Genomic DNA, 20,410 nt, shown 5'->3' with positions numbered 1-20,410 from the left:
CAATTGGTCTAGATCAGGGGTTGGCAAACCTTTTCCTTTTTTATCGAGACAGGGACTTGCTCTGTTGCCCAGGCTGGAGTGCTGTGGTATAACCATAGCTCATTGCAGCCTCAAACTCTGAACTTAAGCAGTCTCCCACCTTAGCCTCCCAAGTAGTTGGGACTACAGGTGTGTACCACCACACCTGGCTAATTTATTTTATTTCATTTTTTGTAAAGATGGACTCTGGCTTTGTTGCCCAGGCTGGTCTTGAACTTCTGGCTTCAAGCGATCCTCCCATTTCGGCTTGCCAAAGCATTGAGATGACAGGTGTGAACCACTGTGCCCAGCCACAAACTTTTTCTTAAAGGGCTAGAGAGTAAGTATCTTAGGCTGGGTGGGCTGAAAAGTCTCTGTCACAACTAGTCACCTTTACCCTTGTAGCTCAAAAGCCACTATAGACAATATGTGAACAAATGAGCCTGTTTGCATTCCCCAAAATAATTTATTTATGGGCACAGAACTTTGAATTGCATACAGTTTTCATGTACCACAGAATATTATTCCTTTGCCTTTTTCCAACCATTTAAAAATGTAAAGGCCACTCGTAACTGGCAGGTACAAAGACAGGCACCAGGCTGGATGTGGCCCACAGGCTGTACTTTGCCACCCTTGAGAACCATATTCAATTTTTGACTCAAGTTATGTTAATTAAGCATCTGCTATGCACCAGGCATAGTGCATAGTGCTGTGTATCCTGGGGATACAGCTGGAAGCATATCAAAATCTCTTGACTTACAAAGCATGCGCGTGCACTGTTGGGACTGTATTATTTCACCTCTCAACACCAGCAATTCTGTTATTTGCCTTTCCCGGAAGTGCCTGGCAGCTGCCAACCTAAGACTGAACCCAGAGGAGAACTTGGATTCTAGAAATTGCTGTCTGAAGTTCCCCTCACCTTCCAGGACGGTCCCGTCTCTCCCCACTGACTGTTTGCCCAACCCTGTGTGCAGGTGCTGGGGAGGGACTCACAGGGACTGGGGGTTTGCCTCCTTCCTACAAGGGACAGCAAGCAGAGCTGAGTGGCTGCCTGGTGCCTTGCACTGCTCCGAGGGCTTTAATCCATGACAGCATTTGTATGTTTCCACCCATTTTACAGAGGAGCTAACTGAGCCCAGAGAGATGAAGTGATTTGCCCAAGGACCTCCGCTAAGTGGTCCTGGCTTTCAGGAAACCAGACCTACTGAGGCAGCTGAGATGATCAAGTTTCAAGAGTGAAGCTGTGGTCAGACCCAAGGATCCTCCAAGCAACCTTCCCCAACAACTGACCTTGGCTGGACTTGCCTCTTCCACCTTTGCAAGCCACTGGATCACTTCCCCCAGCCTGGAGGTATTTTCCCTGGTGCCAATCCCAGTGTTCCCTTATATTCCTACTTACTTTCAGCATTGGGACATTCCACTGACAAACTGTGAGTGTACATCAACATTTTCTTTAGTTTTTGTCGTTGTTACCAGAAATCAAAGTCCTCTGCTTCTTCATTTATCACTGTAGTCTTCCACCCCACAGGCATTTTTTTCCCCCACAAACATGCTTGCCTCTCCCTTCTCTTCTCTGGGTTGATTTATGACATTTCTAAGCCTGCCCTCAGGCATGGGGGACCCTGGGTTTGCATTAGGGCAAAACCTGCATCTACTGTATGCCAGGAAATGGGATTGGAATCCTCACTTCATCCTGGTTTCTCAGTAATGTGCCAGGGCGGGTTCTTGTAATGCCTTGCTTTCCCGATGAGGCTAAGAAAGGTGAAATCCCCCACCTTTAGTTTATGGAGCTGATCAGGTGGCAGAGCTGTGCAATCACCCAGACCTGGGCTCACATTCCAGGTACCTGGATGCTGTGACCTTGAGAAGTGGCTCCCACATGTCCAGAATTCACCAACTGGCATGACTTTTCAGAAGGGGATGGCAAGAGACCACCATAGGTTAGTAATAATAACATTTTAAAGTTACTTTCTGCAATCAAAATAATTTCATAGGAGAATCTTTAACATCAACGTAACAGAAATAACACTTCTTTTTGCAAAAAGTTCACAACATCTTCCATGTGGCCTAATTTCGCAGCTGCCTGATGGAAACGTCATCCCAGACCAGAACTGGTCCTCAGCGCTGAGCAGGGCAGTCACCAGGCAAATTGGCTCCTTTGAATCTCAGTGCTCTCCTCTGCAAAACGCGATAAAATTAACGGCCACCTAGAGTTGTTCAGTGATTGAGTCAACAAATGTGCAAGTAACACTTCCCAAGCACCCGTGACGTGCTGGCTGTGGGAAGTTGCTGGGAGCGTGGAATGAAGTACATGAAGGTCTTTAACCAGGGCCCGGCTGCGGGCCAGGCTCATAAGCAGCTGCTCCCACGGCCAGGCTATTAGCGTCGCTGGGGTTGTTACTGTGGGCATTGCTAGTGTTGCTCCAGTCAATTCTCCTCCCACCCCAGGTGGTTCTTCCGGGAAACTCCCAAATCTGGGTTCTTCCATTAATGGAGAGGAGCTTCAGTTTCAAACTCCAACAGCCTGAATTAGAATCCTGACTTCACCAAGTGAGCAACTGACAGCTGGCTGAGGTGGCTCACGCCTGTAATCCCAGCACTTTGGGAGGCCGAGGCGGGCAGATCACTTGAGGTCAGGAATTCGATACCAGCCCGGCCAACATGGCAAAGCCCTGTCTCTACTAAAAATACAAAAATTAGTCGGATATGGTGGCACATGCCTATAGTCCCAGCTACTCAGTAGGCTGATGCACGAGAATCGCTTGAACCTGGGAGGCGGAGGCTGCAGTGAGCAGAGCTCATGCCACTGCACTCCAGCCTGGGCAACAGAGCCAGACACTGTCTCAAAAAAAATAAGAAAAAAGAAAAAAAAAGGGAGCAAGTGACCCTCTCTGGGCATCCACTTCCGTGTCTGTAAAAAGGGACAGTACTGAGACCTACCTCATAAGGTTCTCATGAGAACTGTGTGAAGTAATTTAGGTGAATGCCTGAGTAGTGCTCAGCGTGTAGGAGGAATGCAAGATGAACTCAGTATTTAGTATTATTTTGAGACAGGGTCTCACTTTGTCGCCCAGGCTGGAGTGTGGTAGTACAAACACAGCTCACTGCAGCCTCCACCTCCTGGGCTCAAGCAATCCTCCTGTCTCAGCCTCCCCAGTAGCTGGGACTACAGGCACATGCCAACATGCCTAGCTAATTGTTGTATTTCGTGTAGAGATGGAGTTTCACCATGTTGCCCAGGCTGGTTTCAAACTCCTGGGCTCAAACTCCCACCTCAGTCTCCGAAAGTGCTAGGATTACAGGCGGGAACCACCGTGCCTGGACTGAATTCCATATTATTGTGTTGTTGTTGCTGCTGCTGAGATATGCCAGCCCATCAGACTGCAGATCCCATTCTCTTTCCATTCTCTGTGGCAGTCTCCATGGATGCTGTCTGTCCTTCTCTCTCTCTCCTTCTGAAGTCCACTTGACCAAATGACTTCAAGACCCGCAGAACAGAGTAACAGCCTGTCCTTAGCCATGAGCACAGGGATGCTGGCTGGCCACATGGGCCGACGCAGTGCTGTTACTCCAGTGGCCAACTGAGACCTTCCCCGAAAGGAACCAGACCCTCCAGGAAGCAAAGGCAGCCCTGTCCACCCGCCCTTATGGTACCAAAAAAAGCCCTTATATATAAAACCAAGAAAGCAATTTGGCTGTTGGCTGCATCCTAAATGCTGAAACCTGGCTTCTGACGGCCGAGGCTGTTCCCTGCCGGAGAGGCACATACAGACCCCCTGACCTCAGACAGCTGTGTCCCGTCTCCCCACACTAGCTGCCTGGTCACTTTAAACCCTGGGATGCCACCAAAAGGGGCCGAAGCAAATGGCGCTATAAACCAATGGCGTAATGACCCACCCTGGCCAGAGACCACTGCACTGTGGGATGCGCCTCCTTGGAGGCCAGCTTCCCTCCTCCTTGTGGGGAGGTCTGCAGTCATCTGACAGTCAGTGTCTCCATGGAGCTTTCTCTGTGCTAGGCTGGAAGCTGGGGTTACACGTCAAACAAACCAGACAGATCCCTTTTGTCAAAGGGTTTACAGTTTCGTGAGGCTAAGACAATGAGACGGCTGCACAAGCTCAACCCAGGTTCTTACTGGTGACCCAAGGGAAAGAAATAGGGTGATGGGGTAGGACATAACGAGATGAGGGTAAGGCTTCCAGGAGGAGGTGACATTCAGGCTGAGCCCTGAATGACGAGACCATGCCAGGCAGGGGAACAGCAAAGGCAAAGGCCCTGGCGTGGGAAGCAGTGGCCAGGTGCAAGACGGCTGCTAGGGGCACCAAGCAAGAGAACAGGAGGAAATGAGGCTGGCCAGGGAGCAGGGCCGGTCAGCTAGCCTGAGTGCCCTGGGCCAGGGGTGTGGACTCAGTGGGGAGGCCTCCAAGGGCTGCAGCTGTCTCTGGAGGGCCGATACTTGGCCTGGTTCCCCTGGAGGCACGATGTTGAAAGGAGGCCTTGTCTGTCTCCCAGACTTGGCCCGAGCCAACGCTGATCTTCTTCTCAGTGGGAGAAAGGTGATCTTGTCCAGTGGTCACAGGTTTGGAATTTCAAATTGCTTTGTTGGGCTTTGGGTGAGGAGAAAGGGGTAAGATTTACAATTCAGTCCAGAGTGGGCATTTTTTGTTTCTGTCTGTTTTCCTGACAACTTTTGCTGTCAGAAGGATAAGCAAAGAGTCAGGGGGACCTCAGCGTCAGTTCTTGCACCAGAACACATGCTCCCTGAGGTCAGCGATTGTGTCTGCTTTGGTCATAACCAAATCATCAGGGACGGAACACTGAATGAATGAATGAATGAATGAATGAATGAATGAGTAAATGAGGTAAATGAGTGAGTGAATGAATAGTAGAATTCTGGGGGGCGCTGTGGCCATACTGGCATTGTTTAAAGAAAACTTACATAGTATTTCCTAGATTGCTGAAGCAATCAACGTGCATTGATTCAACAACTTTTCCGAGACAGGGAGCCCCAAGTGCTCGTTTCCATTGTAACGTGTGTCCGCATTTCAGAAACCAAAGAGGGTGACTCCTGCAAAAAGGGATGGTGCTGGGCCAGGCGCGCTGGCTCACGCCTGTAATCCCAGCACTTTGGGAGGCCAAGGAGGGCGGATCACGAGGTCAGGAGATCGAGACAATCTTGGCTAACAAGGTGAAACCCCGTCTCTACTAAAAATACAAAAAATTAGCCAGGCGCAGTGGCGGGCGCCTGTAGTCCCAGCTACTTGGGAGGCTGAGGCAGGAGAATGGCGTGAACCTGGGAGGCAGAGGTTGCAGTGAGCCGAGATCGCGCCACTGCACTCCAGCCTGGGTGACAGAGCAAGACTCCGTCTCAAAAAAAAGGGATGGTACTGGGTTGCACAGTGTCACCCAAATTTCATATCCACCTGGGACCTCAGATGTGACCATATTTGGAAAAAGGGTCTTTTCAAATGTCATGAGTTCGGATGGGTCATACTGGATTTGAGTGCACCCTAAATCCAGTGACTGGTGTCCCTGTGAGAAGCCCAAGTGAAGACACAGAGAGTCACACAGGGAGAGGAAGACCATGCACAGACAGAGGCAGAGATCTGCCTGCCGATCTCTGTGACGCGTCCACATGCCACACATCGCCAGAGGAGCCAGCAGCCACCAGGCCAGGAGAGAAATGCTGGAGATTCTCCCTGGAGCCCCTAGAGGGGCCAGCCCCACTGGCATCGTGATTCTGGACTTCTGGCCTCTTGGACTGCGACAGAATGAGCTGCTGTTGTTTTAAGTCCCCCCAAAGACAGAGACCAGGTATTTTTGGCTCACCTTTGCATTTCCCTCACCATTGCCCAAGTCAACGTGGTCTGAATGTGCCACTGAGGGCAGAGAGTGTTGAAATGGGCACAAAGCACCCTAGTCATCGGAAAGACCAATCTCCAAACCTTCTGCATGTGTTTCCTGGGCTGCTGTGACAAATTCCCAGAAACCGATGGCTTCAAGCAGCATTGATCCTCCCACAGTTCTAGGGGACGAAAGTTCAAAATCAGTTATTGCAGGACCAAAATTAAAGTGTCAGCAGGGCCAGGCTCCCTCCAGAGGCCCCACTGGGGTCCCACCTGCCTCTGCAGCTCCTGATGGCTGCCTGTGTGCCCATGTCCCTTGGCTCACAGCTGTATCACTCCAGTCTCTGCCTCCTCTGGGTCTCTGCCTCTAGTCTCTGCCTTCTCCCCCTGCCTGGTCTCTGCTTCCAGTCTCTGCCTCCCCCTACCCCGGTCTCTACCTCTCCCTCTCCATCCTGGTCTCTGTCTCTGCCTCCCTCTGCCTGCTCTCTGCCTCTACCCCGTCTCTGCTTCTGTCTTCCCATGGCCTTCTCCTCTGTGTGTGTTTAATCTCTCTGCACATGTTGAATCTCCCTCTGCCTCCCTCTCATTTTACAGATAAGGAAACTGAGGCTTGGAGGTCATAGCTTATCTGTAAAATGGTGTGATAACACCAACCTCCAAGGGTTGCTGAGGAGTTGACATGGAGCCGCTCCAGCTCCAAAGCCCCCAGCACAGCGCCTCCCTGTAGTGAGTGCACCACAGGGGCTGGGGTTGTTATTGTTGTGTTTCTGAGATGCATTTTTTTCATATTTTAATCTTTCAGGCAGGAGGCTGCAACCTACAATCACTGTGTAAATTTAACATGGCCAAACATCTGTTCTGCTCCCTCCTCTCCTCCCAAAAGTTGTTTTTAAATAGAGCATGTGACGCTGTGAAGAGCAGATACTTTCCTGTTCCACGCTTTTGTTGGGAGAGGACATGAGTGAAAACGCGATGACTGGGAGGGGCTTGTCTAAGAGGAAGCCCCGGCTTTCTCTGCAGTGGGGTCTGTCCTCTTCTGGGTGCTCGTCAGTCACTTAGATGAAGTCACAGAACCCATGCTGGTCAGATTTGCAAGTGTCTCCAAGGGTAAGGGGCACCTACCAAGTGCCAAGACCCGAATTTGCTGCTCCTCACTGACCACTGGCAAGAGCTTCTCAGCCTGTGGCCTTCACCCTCAGCCCCCTTAGGTCAGCTGCAAAATCCAAGGGTGACACTGATCAGAATGGCTACATTAATAAGAGCGGCAAACCGAGTGCTGGGGAGGATGTGGAACACCAGGAAGTCTCCGTCCACTGCGGGTGGCAATGAATGGGCGTCGGTACGACCACCTTGGAAGACTGATCAGGAATATCTATTATAGCTAAATACAAGCCCACCCTCTGCCAGCGTTCCCACTCCTGACAAAGGACCCCAGAGAAAGGAGAATAAGTGTGCAAGGAGCAAGCCAAGAGACAATGGTAAGAGTGTCCACAGCGGCCCCACCTGCAAGAGCCAACAGCTGGGAACAACCCATGCCCATGACAAGAGAAGGGACAAATCACGGTGTCTGCACACAAAGGAAAGCTGCAGAGCCATGAAAAAGAACAAAGCAGCATGCCTTTGTGCTTAGGGTGAACCTAGCACGCCTAACCGTGAGTGAAGAAGTCAGACCCAAAAGAATACATACCGCAGGATTCTGTTTACAGAACATCAAGCCTAGGTGCCTTGATTCATGCCTATAATCCCGGCACTTTGGAAGGACATGGTGGGAGCTTGAACCCAGGAGTTCAAGACCAGCCTGGGCAACATAGCAAGACCTCGTCTCTACAAAAAATTAAAAAATTAGTTGGGCGTGGTGGCACGCACCTGTAGTCCCAGCTACTTGAGAGGCTGGGGTGGGAGGATCACTTGAGCCCAGGGGAGATGGAGGCTGAAGTAAGCCATGATCACACCATTGCACTCCAGCCTGGGTGACAAAGTGAGACCCTGTCTCTAAAAATACAAAAATAAAAATAAAACAATAGAAAGTCAAGCATGAACTAAAGAAATCTACCGTCAAAGAAGTCAGAATCGTGGTTATCTCTTCTGCAGGGACGCAGGCGGGCAGTAACTAGAAATGAGGGGGGCAGTAACTAGAAATGAGGTGGGCAGTAACTGGAAACAAGGTGGGCGGTAACCGGAAACTTTCTGGAGTGACGGGAATGCTCTCAATCTTGATCCGGGAGGTGGTGATCCAGGTATATTCAACGTGAAAAGTCATCAAACAATCGACTTTGGATTTGTGTGCTTTGCTCTCAATATATGCGCCGTCAACAACAAAAAAGCACTACTCTGCCCAAGCATTCAACCTACATCAACGCACTTACCCCTGACCATAACCGGATGAAGAGGGAGCTGTTATCCCCATTTCGCAGAGGAGAAATCCTGAAATCTCCACGGCTCCCTGGAGGGTGGCAGGCTGGGTCCTGTGGGCCAGATTCCCACTGTGAGCTGCAGAGATAGAGGCCACACCTGCAGGTGGGCTTCCCTGGGTCCAGCCAGAACCTGTCCTTGCCCTGCTCAGCTCCGGAAAGACCCCATCTTGTGGTACTGGAGGATGCTGCCATACCATGGACCCCCAGTGAGAACAGAGCCAGCTTCAAGGGATGTAACGTGTAGCCACATGGGGCTCTGCCCTCAGAAGGGGCTCTGAGTTCTGCTGTCACCAACCTGAAGTTCTTGCTAATTTTTGAACATGGAGCCTGGCATTTTTAGTTTGCAATGGGCTCCACAAATGATGTAGGAGAGCTTGAATAGAACACCGTGATGTTTAGCATGGCCCTTAGTTACTGAAGGGCCGTTCTATGGAGAGAGAAGCATGTTTATGCTGCTAGGAAAACAAATTATGGAAGTTATAAAGCAGGCAGACCTCAGCCTGATGTATGGAAGGACTTCCTGCCAGTGACAATGGTTCTAAATGAGCTGCCTCCAAAGAAAGAGTGTTACTCTGTGCCAAGCGTTCAGCCTGCATCAACGCACTTACCCTTCACCATAACCGGATGAAGAAGGAGCTATTATCCCCATTTCGCAGAGGAGAAAAACTGAGACTCTGCAGATTTTATTAGCTTGCCCTGCGTCACTCATCTGGTTAGCAGTGATGCTGGGACTTGAAACCAAGTCTGACTTACTTGGAGTTGGCATCCACCACCAGAGTCCTCAGAGATTCAAGCTGCATGCTGCACATCTGGGGCCAGCGGAGAGGCTTGCAGCCTCGGAGCCGCTGGGCTTCAGAGCTCAAGGCGGTGATTTCGGGATTTCAAACACAGACAGGAGGCAAAGCAAAGAAAGCCAGGGCAGTCACTGTGTGCCAGCCACAGAGCCCCCCCCCCACCCCCCCCCCGCGGGCTGCTGGCATGGGGAGACCAGGGAACAAAGCTGCTCAGGGCATTCAGGAGCTGGTGGGACACATGAGTAAAGCTGACATCTGTGACACTAGGGAGGGGTGGGGACCGAGGCAATTCATGTTTAAAAAGTGTTTAAATACCATGCAGGCAAAACCAAAACCCCTCCTGCAGGCTGCACTCAGGTCACCATTAGTGGTAGCTGGTTTAGACTGACAGCCCCATGAGGGCAGGGAGGGTGTGTCATGCCCAGCACTGCCCCGCACTGCCCCCCACCAGCCCAGCACAGGGCCTGGCAAGCAGGTAGCCTGTTTACAGGACACGTGGCCCCAGTGGCTGTCTGTCTCACTGCCCCTCTTCCTGCCCAATGCCACCCCATAGGGCTGGGCCATGCCATAGGGGGCAGGACCCCAGCTCACCTGGCTCTGCCTCACCCACCTGATTCCTATCCCCTCCTCTCCCACTTCCCACTAGCACAGGCCTAACTTAGAACGTTCTTGGAAAAAAAAGGCTGAGTACTAGACAAGTATTGGGATAGCGCAGGGGTTAAGAACAAGGGCCCCAGGAGTAGACAGACCTGGATTTGAATCAAGCCCCACCACCTCCTAGCCACGCGACCTTAGAAAAGTTACCTCGCCTCTCTCTGCCTTGGTTTCCACATCAGCAAAATAGGAATAATAATGGTGACTAATCTGGTTTTTTTTTGTGAATATTGTTATATAAGACTTGTAATTTTGTTAATGTTAAATTGCATGTAATACACGTGAAATGCCCAGAACACCACTTTACACGTAATAGGCATTCCATCAGTGCTATCTGTTCTTCTTTGCTGTTGTTGCTGTTGGAGACAGGGTCTTGTTCTGTTGCCCGGGCTGGAGTGCAGTGGCACAATCATAGCTCACTGCAGCGTCAAACTCCTGGGCTCAAGCCATCCTCCTGCCTCAGCCTCCCAATTAACTGGGACTACTGGCATGCACCAAGACACCTGGCTAATATATTTCTGTCTTTCTTTTTCTTTTCTTTTTTTCTTTTTTTCTTTTTTTTTTTTAAGAGATGAGGTCCCACTACCATTGCCCAGGGGTCTCAAACTCCTGGGCTCAAGCAATAATCCTGCCTCAGACTCCCAAAGTGCTAAGATTACAGGTGTGAGCCACCGCGCACCTGGCCTGCTATTGTTCTTTATTGCATGAACAATTGCCATTTATCAAACACCTCCTATGTGTTAAGCTCTGTGCTGAGAACTAGTCTTTGCAATAATTATTCAAAAAGTACCTATTGAATATAAACTGGGGCAGACCTTCCTCAAAGCACATGGGTACCTCCCCGTGGAGCTCACACCCTTTTAGAGGAGATACAATAAAAGCCAGGATGGGGCAGAGCAGTGGGGAAGAAGGGGAGGTAATGTTGAACCACCTGCCCATGGTTACAGAGGCAGCAGGCCTGGGACTCCCGACGCTTCCCTCCTGCCTTATACCTGATCTAAGAAGGCCCTGCTGGGCACACAGTAGATGCTCAGCAAATGTTCTGTTGAAGGGCTGGAGCCTCACAAAACCCTACTGATGCAAACAGGCTCAGCGAGGCTGAGTGACTTGCCCAAGATCCTAAGAGGTGGTGGAGGAATCGCCTTTCACAAAAAAGAACAAGCGCTTCGGAGCCGCCGCCGCTGCAGCCCCGGCGGACCCAAAGCCTTTAAACACCGAGGCCCCGCGCCCCGCCCCGCAGCCACCACGTGGATTTAAAACCCACGCAGCCGCCGGGCTCCGGCCCCTCTCCCACCATTGGCCGAGGCCACCAGCACTTGTATCCAATAGATCGTGCTTCTCCCGGAATCCAAACTTGGGATTGGCCGGTTAGCTGTGTCATTTCGGGCTGCCCATGACGTCAGCCTGTCTGGCACCCCCGCCTCTTCGGTGTCTTGGCCGCTGTTAAAGGAGCCGCAGGAGGTAGGACTTGAGAGGTGCTTCAGAGGCACTATTAAGTAAAAATTTTTAAAAATTTTTCTAAATGAATGCTCATGGTAGAAAATAGAGCAAACAATATGAGAAATATATTGCATTTAATCCATTGCACAAAGCTGACCACTGTTAATATTTTGGCAAATATCATTTTAATCCTTTTTCTAATAATATTTTTGTAAAAAGTTGAGATCGGTTCTGCAGCCTATTTTTAAATTTAGTTTATATGGGACTTTATATCATCAGATAATTTTTGAAAACAAGGTTTTGAACAGTTTTATGATCACTGCCTTTTATTTACGCATCTTCTATTTGTTTTTAATTTCATTGCACTTTTGCTTTTACGAATGAAGATAGGATCAACGTTCTTCTCCTTAAAACTGTTCACTTCTCTGATTATTTCCTTAAGATATGTGGTAGACTTACCGGTTGCAGATACACATACTTTAAGGGACTAGTCCACATTGCAAATTGTTTTGCGTTCATTCATTCAGCAAATATTTATTGGGCGTGACCACATGCCAGTCACTGCTAGGGGCTGTGGACACGGAGAATAAGACAGATGTAGCCTGTGCTGCCTTCAAAGATGCAATGCCAGTTTCATTGCCTTTGAAGCCAGCTCTTGGACACCGATTCCCAAGCCCCAAACTGACGACAGATTCACCCGTCCGGAGGGCTCCATGTGCAGATGGGACAGGACCCTGTCTCCAACCCTGGCATGGAGATGTAGGTGAAGGGCACAGAGTGTTTTCCTGGGACTGTTGGGCACCGTCGTGCCCTGTTCCTCTGGGTTCCCACAGTGCCTTCCTGGCGTTCTAGATGGCCTTGCAGACGTCTCAGCATTTGTCCCTAGACCAGACACTGGGGAGACACAGGACACAGTCTAGCTGGGGAGAGACACTGAATGAAGCCACTCACAAATTCACACACACAAAATTATAATTTATAATTTGAGATAAGTTATCCAAAGGGAAGAAGAGGGATTTAGTAGGGTCTGTTTGTATTTTGTCCGGGACGGGGAGCCCCTGGGATGCACAATGCGCAGTGTTAATCAGTCTTCCCTCCTATCCATGGGGGTACGTTCTGAGACTCCCAGTGGATGCCTGAAACCTCACACAGCACCGAACCCTATATACTCTATTTTTTCATACACATGGATACTACAATAAGGTTTAATTTATAAATTAGGCCTAGTAACAGATTGACAACAACAGTTAACAATAAAATAGAACAATTATAACAATATAGTGTAATAAAAATTGTGTGGATGTGGTCCCTCCCCCTCTCTCTCTCTCACTCTCAAAATATCTTACTGTACTGTACCCACTATTTTTGGACCTCGGCTGACCATGGGTAACTGAAACCTTGGAAAGGGAAGCCATGCATGGGGTGGGTGGCGGGGGACTACTGTAATTAGCTTTTTCAAGAGCTTGCTCCAAGCCAGGCCCTGTGCTGAGTGCCCTGCATGAGTTACCCATGTAATCTTCCACTGGCCCTATGAGTGGATGGATACCTGTCAGATCTCCACTTTTAAGATGAAGAAACTAAGGTCCGGAGTAGTTCATTCACTTTCTTCAGCAAGGTCACACAGAAGTGGTAACATGTACTTGCCTGACCCCACGGTTTTCAGCATGCAGAATTCAGGTTTGGGGGAAATGGGCAGATGAGTGGGTAAGCCCATCAGAGGGGATACCGTGGAGGCAGAGCTGGCCTGCGCTAGTCACTGTGCAGCCCCACGGCTTGTTGCAGCACCTGGCACGAGGTGTGGAATTGTCTCTGTGCCAGGTGTGGTGCCTGGCATTAGCACTGCACAGAGCCTGGCAGACACGGTCATGTCCGAGTCCTCTGTGATCAGCATGGCCTTTGCTGTCACACCCAGACCACTCTACCTGCTTCCCCTCAAACCCAGCAGCAGAACACCAAGGGCCAGCCTCCCCTAAATCGCTCTGGTGTCATTGAGAAGCACAGTTTTATATTATTAATTACTCCTAATAACAGTACAATGTGTCATTCATGACAAGAGAGACGCAGAACACTTTTGGTTGGGTATTTCTGGTCCGTGAAATCAGCTTGAGTGACTCATAGTTCTTTCTGAAAGTGTTTCAGACATGAGTTAAACATCTGGAATCTTCCATTCCCCTCTCAAGCTCAACCTGTGGTAGAAAAGTCTGTGTATTAAGCTATTTAAGGTAACCAAAGACCCTGCAGGGCCTGGGCTGCTGTCAGGCACTGAATGGATCCTAGCTCAGCTCTGCCTTTCACTGGCACCTTGAATCTTCTCCAAGTCATGGCCCTCTCTGGGCCTCAGTTTACCCATCTGTCAGAAGACAAAATTGGCTCTAATGTTCCCTTCTGTCCTCTCCTTCTGCCCACCCTTGTCTCCCTGCCTGGCTTCCAAAGCCCTCTCTTCTCGGGAAGAATTCAGTTCCCTGCTGGAATTGAAAAATTGGACAGAAGAGAATGGGATGGCACCCCGGGATGGAGGTGGGGGTGTCATCTGTGGCCAATTTAGCCGAGCATCTTTGGATTGCTGTTGGAGAACTCAACCATCTGACATTTGTCCAGCAGCAAAGCTCCTGTATATTTGTACAGCAGCGAAGCTCCTGTATCAGCGCCTAAACACACACAACACAACCAAGAAAATGCGAGAACACATGCAGATGCACGCACAACACACACATACCCTCATAGCACAAATACTCACATGCGTACCCCAAACATATGTACAATACAACGTGCACCCTCAAACCCTCAACACAGACGACACACACCACACACACACAAATACCCCACAGCGTGAATATGCACATGTACGTCCTGCATATACATGCAACGCACACCCACAAGCTCACAGTGGAGACCACACATGCACAACACGTCTTTCTGGCTGAGACTTCTGGTTCTGGTTGATACCATGCAAACGCTCCTTGCTCTTCTTGGTAGGTGCTAGCCCAGGTGACTGGCTTCTGGATACTCAGCTGCAAGAGGATACTTGGAGGTGGAGAGGGTGAGTGAGCGGGAAGACTTGTTAGCCAGTCATGAAGGCAGCCAAAAATGGGATTTGGATGTGTTTGTGGGTAGGTGTCCCTCCTGCATTTAGTCCACAGAGGTTTGCCAAGCACCCACTGCAGGCCAGACCCCAAGCAAGGCATGCCAGACTGGCCTGCCCCCTGGAGCAGTGGAGGGGATGGTGAACTCACAGACACCGAGTCCAGGGGCCGCTGGGCCCTGTGCTGAGGCCTCCCCACACTGCCTCTCCCTCACTGTGAAATCCCGCTCCTCCCTGTTTAGTGGCAGAGGGGACGCAGGTTCAGTGAGCTGAAGCAGCCTGCCAAGGCTGCCCACGCCAGACCCAGAGCAGGTGCTGGAGTGGCCTCTCACCAACCCAGCCGCTCCAGCCTCACTCCGCTGCAGAGTCAGCTGCCCCTCATGGTCGGAGATGAGGTTTTATGAACAGACACCACCAGCGGTGAGGCAAATGGTGGATCCCCGGGGGCCTCCGTGGAGCTGAGGGGGACGGCGCCAACCGAGTCCAGTGGGACGGCCAGGGGGACGGCGCCAACCAAGTCCAGTGGGACGGCCAGGGGGACGGTGCCAACCGAGTCCAGTGGGACGGCCAGGGGCACAGTGCCAACCGAGTCCAGTGGGACGGCCAGGGAGGACCCAGTCAAAGGCAGTGAGGAGGGAGACAGGGTGCAGAAGGCATCATTTGCTGAGGCCAGCCCATGGGCTTTAGGGCCCAAGTACCTGATTCACATCCCAGCTCCACCTCATCCTTGGGTCCCTGAGCCTCAGTGTCCCCATCTGTCAAATGGGAATAATATCAGCTTGGACCTCAGAGGGTTGTCGTGGGGATCCAGTGAGCTCATTTCTGGCTCTCCGTAGGATCCCAATGCATATTTGTGGAATGACTAAGTGGAAGAATGTGAAGTGGTTAGAACAGGGCCTGGCATGGCACATGGGCAGTGCCCAATAAACATTGGCTCTTACTAGTGTTTAAAAGTAAAACAAGACAAAAAAAATGAAATCCAAAGTTGCTAACCTGTGAAAGTTGACAGCCCCAATTAACCCCAACCTGAGGAAGAAAATGACCCTGCTGGACGGTGTTTCCAAAGGTGCTAAGTTGGGAGGGGAGGTCATTAATCTGCCTAAGGTTTCCCAAGACTAATTCTGCAGAGGCAGCTCCGTCCAGGCAGGCCGGGGGTGGCAGGCAGACAGGGGCACGGCTGGCCCTGAGGAGGGCCTCTGCCTTGTCCCCTCAACCGGCTCCCCAAGCAGGACTTTTGTTGGCTCAGTCAGGCACTTTCCACAGTGGCCAGCCACCCTCGGCCAGCGGGCACAGTCAGAACACTGCCAGCCACCCTCAGCTGTGGCCAAAACCCACACTGACTTCCATGGGGTCCCAACTGGCTGCCAGTGTGGGCCTGGCATCTGAGCAGGACTGGTTACAGATTTGCAGGCCCCCGTGTTCAGAAACTGTTAACTATTAGGAATTTCACGATGTCAACAGTAGAAAAAATTAAACTAAAAAATAAATAAATAAAATAATACAATAAACCCCCGACCCTTCAGAGCATGGGGCCCTGGAGAGTGCAGGGGGGTCACACTCCCACGAAGCTGGCTCTGCACACAAGTCCAGCAGAGCACAGATGCGCGGCGCTGCTGGGAGCAAAGCCCCTTAACCTGCTGAAACAGGACGTTTCCTCTGGAAAATCCCCCCGGCCGCGGATTCAACCCATGGGCAGGGCGGATGGTGGCACACGCTGTCTGGAGTCCCAGAAAGGCCTGTCTCTGCAGTCACCCATTTCACAATCCATTTGCTTCACACACCCATTTCACAACCCCATGGCCACAGCCAGGCTGAGAAATGTGTCCCAAACTCCAAACCTGCTGGGACCATGAGAGTCTCCCAGTTCCTGATGCCCCCACTGGCCTGGCATCCCCTCTCTACTGTCCCCTACATGCCCAGCCCACATCTCCCCAGAGAGGAGGCCCAACCCTTTGGGCTCAAGTCGCCTCCAAACCCTCTCCTTTTATATTCTTCCCAGGTCTCGTCCCTCTCTGAAATTATCACCTGGACTCATCTTTTTACACATGTGATGTCAGCCTCACCTGTGAGCCTCAGTATGGCTGGGGCTGCACCTGTGGGTGGTTGGTAACTGCAGGTGGAATGAGATGCCACCTCCTCAGGGAGGGCTTCCTTGATCTCACCCCAACTCTGGCCTTTGGCCTGTTATCACCATGTCTGAAATGACCTCCTGACCTCATTGAGCTATGAGTTTGCATGTGTGTGTGTGTCTTTAGTCCCTTTGTCCCCCACAATGTCACACGAGGTCAGGGAGTTGGTTTTCTTCCCAGCCCTGTGCCCCATACCCAGCACAGAGCTTCACACTGAATAGGAGCAGAATGTTTGTTCAATGAGTGAACAAAACCTTTTTTTTTTTGCCTCTGACTTGTGGCATTCTTCCCAGGGACTCAGGCCTGCCCAATCGCGGTGCCCCCTCCCCACTCCCACTCCCAGCAGTGAGCCCTCCCTCCTCAGCCCATTAACACCTTGGCTCTGCCCATTTCTCCTGGGTAGAATCAGGGAGTTGTGACCTTCTCTGCCTGTGCCTGACAGTGGGCTCTGCCCTTCATGCCCAAAATGCCAGCATCACAGTCCCTGGCACATCTAGGGTTATCAGATTTCGCAAAGAAAAATACAAGCTATCCAGTTAAATTGAGATATACTTACACTAATCATTATTCATAGTTTATCTGAAATTCAAACTGAACTGGGTGTCCTGTATTTAATTCTCGCAGTCCTGGGCACACACGAAGCCTCCTATGAGTGCTGGCAGTCCAGCCTATGCTCCTTCCAAAGCAATTCTCCTTTCCTACTGCCCCGTCAGGGGCCCTGTCTGTGCTGGAATCATCATTGTCCTCAACTGCAAAATGGAAAATAAAATGATAGTGGTTCCTCCCTCCCGGGGTTGCCAAGATGATTAAATAACATAACAACTAAGATGTATCCGGCCCCTTCTCCTCTACTTGCAAGGCATCGATCCCTTCATTCCTCGCAATCACACCACGTGAAGGTGCCATGAAGCCACCCCATTTTGCAGAAGAGGAAACTGAGGTTGGAGAGGTGAAAGCACTCAGCCGAGGTCACACAGCTATGTCCCACTCATCTTTGGGTGACCCTCAGGTTCGGACCCTGAGGTCTGAACACTGCATTAAGCTCTCCAGACAGAATCAACTTCGGAACTAGCGCCAGAGACCACTAAGTCAATCCCAGGTGACACCATCAGCACTCAATAAATGGTAGCCACTGCCGGTGTCGCAGATGGATCAATGGGAGGTCAAGCGTTGTGGGTAGGTTTGGTTTCTTTAAGCCACTGAATTAACTGGTTATTTTTGCCTGCTGGCAGTGCAGCCTCCATTGTGTAAATGCCATCTCACTTCCAAGACAATCAACGTGTGACTTCTCCCAGCCAGACTAGCCAGGTCTCCCGAGACTTCCCGGAGGGCAGGGGCTGTGTCTGGAGTGGCTGAATTCCCCGGCTCAGGGTTGCAGCTCAGCCAGTTTGTTGATTGAATGAATGAAGAAATGGCTGAAAGCAGGGGTGGTAATGATGACCTCCTTCACCCTAGGAAGTGAATGGGACCCAGGTCATCTCCAGGCCCAGCCAGTATTTGCAGTGGCACCCCAAGGGATGCTGGGGGACCCCTTAGCTTTTCTCTTAAGTTGCAGCGGCCAAACTGCAGCAATATCTTCCCTGATAAAAGACACGCTGGTGGTATTGCCCCTTCCTCAAGGCAGGGGCTGAGGGCGCCCAGTTCACAGCAGGGTGCCATCTGGGGTAGACGCTGGGTATTGCCCCACTCCTGGGCCGGGGCCTGGGTCCTGACCTAGTGCTGGCTGTGGCTCCAAGAGTGAGCTTCTCCTCCCAAACAGAAGACGGTCAGTGCCTCTGAACCTCCCTCTGGGCTGGGCACGCTTGGACTCCTCCAAAGAGCTTGGACCAGCCTGAGCCACATCCCTGGGCTTGACTTCTCCAGAACAAGCCTCCTGGTCTTTCTGGGAGAGCTCTGGCAGCATCACTGTGCCTGTGCAGGGAGAGCGGGAACCCACTTCCTGCACCGGCTTTCTCTGAGTTCTTCAGGATGAATTCGCTCTGGTCTAGGTAAGTTCTACCCCGAGGCCACCTTCACTTCCCAAATTCCAGCTTTTCCTTCTCTATCCAAACTGTTACAAACACAGTAACAATAATTTTTAAAAGCTTTTTTTTTCTCTGAACACACTAAGTCCCTGCTAATTACTGAAACTCCAGGCATTACAGGAATATGTGGACACTTAAAGAATCAGGACTACGTGGGAGAGGGGGAGGCAGCTCCCCAGGGTCCTGGGTTGGCACACAGGCTCCACCACTGTGTGACTTTCAACAAGCGACTTCCTTGACCAGCTGCCCGCTCTGTAAAATGGGGAGAGTAATATTCGGCCACACTGAGTCGGTGTCAGGTTGAGTTAATATTTGGAGAGTTTCTGGCACAGGTAGGTGCTCCTTAAGTGCCTGTTAAATAAGTGAAGCTTTGAGAAAGTGTCTAAAAGGCGACACACTAAATTTTTAAGAGGCTGGAGGTGGGCCAGGGAGGGGAGGTCTCTTATGTAATATTTTAATATCTTTTTAAACCTGAAGAATGTGTTCTTGTAGCACTCCTGTAATTAAAACTTAATGAACTAAAAGTACACCCCTCCTGCTCATACCCCTTTTGAACTCCGCAGCCGCGCCCCCCAGCCGGAGGCCCCTTGGGCAGCAGACAATGGGTGTGGATTCGCCCCAGGTCCCGCCGGCTGGGGCGGCGACAATACACCAGTCCCCGACAGCTATTTACATGACAAGGGCTTCCGGGCGTGTCTACGCGAGTTCCCGTCTTTCCTGGTCGTCCTCCTTGGGTTCGGGTGAAAGCGCTTGGGGGTTCAGTGGGCCATGATCCCCGAGCTGCTGGAGAACTGAAGGCGGACAGTCTCCTGCGAAACCAGGCAATGGGTGATCCATCTTGGGGGCTTCCTCCCCCTTTCTCCAATTTCTCTTCCCTGAGCCCCCAGGGACCTTGTGCTCCTCAGAAGATAGGCTAGCCCCAAGAGCCTGGGTCAAGGACCCCAGGGACGGGGGCGAGGGGAGGGCGCACCAGCAACCCGCCCGGGTGCGGCTGGCACCGAGTTCGGCTCCCCGGCCCCGGGCGTGCGCCGGGCAGGCGTTCCAAGCTGACCGCCGTTGGGGAGAGGGCACAGCGCCCCTCCTCCGTTGCGCGGGTGCCGGGTCTACGTGGGCCGCCTAGCTCTGGCCCTTTAAGAGCCCGCCCCGTTTCCCGTCACCCCGCCCCCCGGCTCGGGGAGGGGGTGCGGGGGAACCTCGGCGGGGATTGGCGCAGCGCGCGCCCCCTCCCCGGCCCCCGCGCGGTGGGAACCGGCAGCCCCGTCTAGCGCTGACGTCAGACCGTCTGCCTGCCTCCGACCGCGGTCTCGGAGCGAAACCCGATCTCCTTGGACTTGAATGAGGAGGAGGAGGCGGCGGCGGCGGCGGCGGCGGAGGCGCTCGGCTGGGGAAAGCTAGCGGCAGAGGCTCAGCCCCGGCGGCAGCGCGCGCCCCGCTGCCAGCCCATTTTCCGGACGCCACCCGCGGGCACTGCCGACGCCCCCGGGGCTGCCGAGGGGAGGCCGGGGGGGCGCAGCGGAGCGCGGTCCCGCGCACTGAGCCCCGCGGCGCCCCGGGAACTTGGCGGCGACCCGAGCCCGGCGAGCCGGGGCGCGCCTCCCCCGCCGCGCGCCTCCTGCATGCGGGGCCCCAGCTCCGGGCGCCGGCCGGAGCCCCCCCCGGCCGCCCCCGAGCCCCCCGCGCCCCGCGCCGCGCCGCCGCGCCGTCCATGCACCGCTTGATGGGGGTCAACAGCACCGCCGCCGCCGCCGCCGGGCAGCCCAATGTCTCCTGCACGTGCAACTGCAAACGCTCTTTGTTCCAGAGCATGGAGATCAGTGAGTGACCCCACGCCCCCCTCCCCGGAGACTCCATCGGGCTCGGACCCTATGTCGGGGCACAGCTGCGAGCGGGGGTCCGGGCCCTGCGCGCCCCCTCGGACCGAACGCCCTGCGCCCGGGCAGCGCCCGCCGCGCCCCGGGCGCGCCCTCCCGGCTCGCGGCAGCTGGCGGCCGGCCCGGCTTTGTCCCGCG

The 20,410-nt window shown here is 52.5% G+C and overlaps 1 protein-coding gene and 2 long non-coding RNA genes across 10 annotated transcripts in view, besides 6 other annotated features; 1 reads left to right on the top strand and 2 right to left on the bottom strand.

Annotated features, from left to right (window-relative positions):
- Positions 1-464: 464 nt before the first annotated feature.
- Positions 465-11,015, bottom strand: LOC105372692 (uncharacterized). 5 transcript variants are annotated; one of them, XR_007067675.1, is made up of 6 exons: positions 9,032-11,015; positions 8,231-8,354; positions 6,987-7,077; positions 5,964-6,043; positions 4,958-5,086; positions 465-4,625 (listed from the first exon to the last, which is right to left on the bottom strand). It is a non-coding gene; the product is annotated as an uncharacterized LOC105372692 (long non-coding RNA). The 5 variants fall into 5 exon arrangements; XR_936917.3 differs by having other exon boundaries at positions 5,848-6,043; positions 9,032-10,936; XR_001754689.2 differs by having other exon boundaries at positions 465-5,086; positions 5,865-6,043; positions 9,032-9,208.
- Positions 3,890-4,390: an enhancer, noted in NCBI's record as "H3K4me1 hESC enhancer chr20:56300355-56300855 (GRCh37/hg19 assembly coordinates)". NCBI's record gives its function as "activates a minimal SCP1, AML or CMV promoter by ChIP-STARR-seq in naive and primed H9 embryonic stem cells {active_cell/tissue: H9 hESC(naive and primed)}" and the evidence as "EXISTENCE:reporter gene assay evidence [ECO:0000049][PMID:30033119]".
- Positions 4,391-4,891: an enhancer, noted in NCBI's record as "H3K4me1 hESC enhancer chr20:56299854-56300354 (GRCh37/hg19 assembly coordinates)". NCBI's record gives its function as "activates a minimal SCP1, AML or CMV promoter by ChIP-STARR-seq in naive H9 embryonic stem cells {active_cell/tissue: H9 hESC(naive)}" and the evidence as "EXISTENCE:reporter gene assay evidence [ECO:0000049][PMID:30033119]".
- Positions 14,101-14,629: an enhancer, noted in NCBI's record as "H3K4me1 hESC enhancer chr20:56290116-56290644 (GRCh37/hg19 assembly coordinates)". NCBI's record gives its function as "activates a minimal SCP1, AML or CMV promoter by ChIP-STARR-seq in primed H9 embryonic stem cells {active_cell/tissue: H9 hESC(primed)}" and the evidence as "EXISTENCE:reporter gene assay evidence [ECO:0000049][PMID:30033119]".
- On the bottom strand, positions 16,909-19,506 carry NKILA (NF-kappaB interacting lncRNA). The gene has a single exon (NR_131157.1). It is a non-coding gene; the product is annotated as an NF-kappaB interacting lncRNA (long non-coding RNA).
- Positions 17,009-17,620: an enhancer, noted in NCBI's record as "H3K27ac-H3K4me1 hESC enhancer chr20:56287125-56287736 (GRCh37/hg19 assembly coordinates)". NCBI's record gives its function as "activates a minimal SCP1, AML or CMV promoter by ChIP-STARR-seq in naive H9 embryonic stem cells {active_cell/tissue: H9 hESC(naive)}" and the evidence as "EXISTENCE:reporter gene assay evidence [ECO:0000049][PMID:30033119]".
- PMEPA1 (prostate transmembrane protein, androgen induced 1) overlaps positions 18,217-20,410 on the top strand; it is a 63,077-nt gene continuing 60,883 nt past the window's right edge. The window contains exon 1 of one of the 4 annotated variants that reach the window (NM_199171.3): positions 18,217-18,365. Coding sequence is in view for 2 of the 4 variants with exons in the window: in NM_020182.5 (NP_064567.2) it covers positions 20,107-20,215 (109 nt within the window). In the remaining 2 variants the exon portion in view is untranslated. Of the gene's footprint in view, positions 18,366-19,111; positions 19,230-19,673; positions 20,216-20,410 lie in introns of those variants that run through there. The other 3 variants (NM_199170.3, NM_199169.3, NM_020182.5) reach the window with 3 other exon arrangements.
- Positions 19,273-19,392: a silencer, noted in NCBI's record as "silent region_13067". NCBI's record gives its function as "represses an Ori minimal core promoter by ATAC-STARR-seq in GM12878 lymphoblastoid cells {active_cell/tissue: GM12878}" and the evidence as "EXISTENCE:reporter gene assay evidence [ECO:0000049][PMID:35858748]".
- Positions 19,413-19,842: a silencer, noted in NCBI's record as "silent region_13066". NCBI's record gives its function as "represses an Ori minimal core promoter by ATAC-STARR-seq in GM12878 lymphoblastoid cells {active_cell/tissue: GM12878}" and the evidence as "EXISTENCE:reporter gene assay evidence [ECO:0000049][PMID:35858748]".

This window comes from Homo sapiens, chromosome 20 (assembly GCF_000001405.40).
Source record: "Homo sapiens chromosome 20, GRCh38.p14 Primary Assembly".
NCBI lineage: Eukaryota > Metazoa > Chordata > Mammalia > Primates > Hominidae > Homo > Homo sapiens.
The sequence above is the reverse complement of the archived record's forward strand: the minus strand, read 5'-3'. Positions and strand labels throughout refer to the sequence as shown.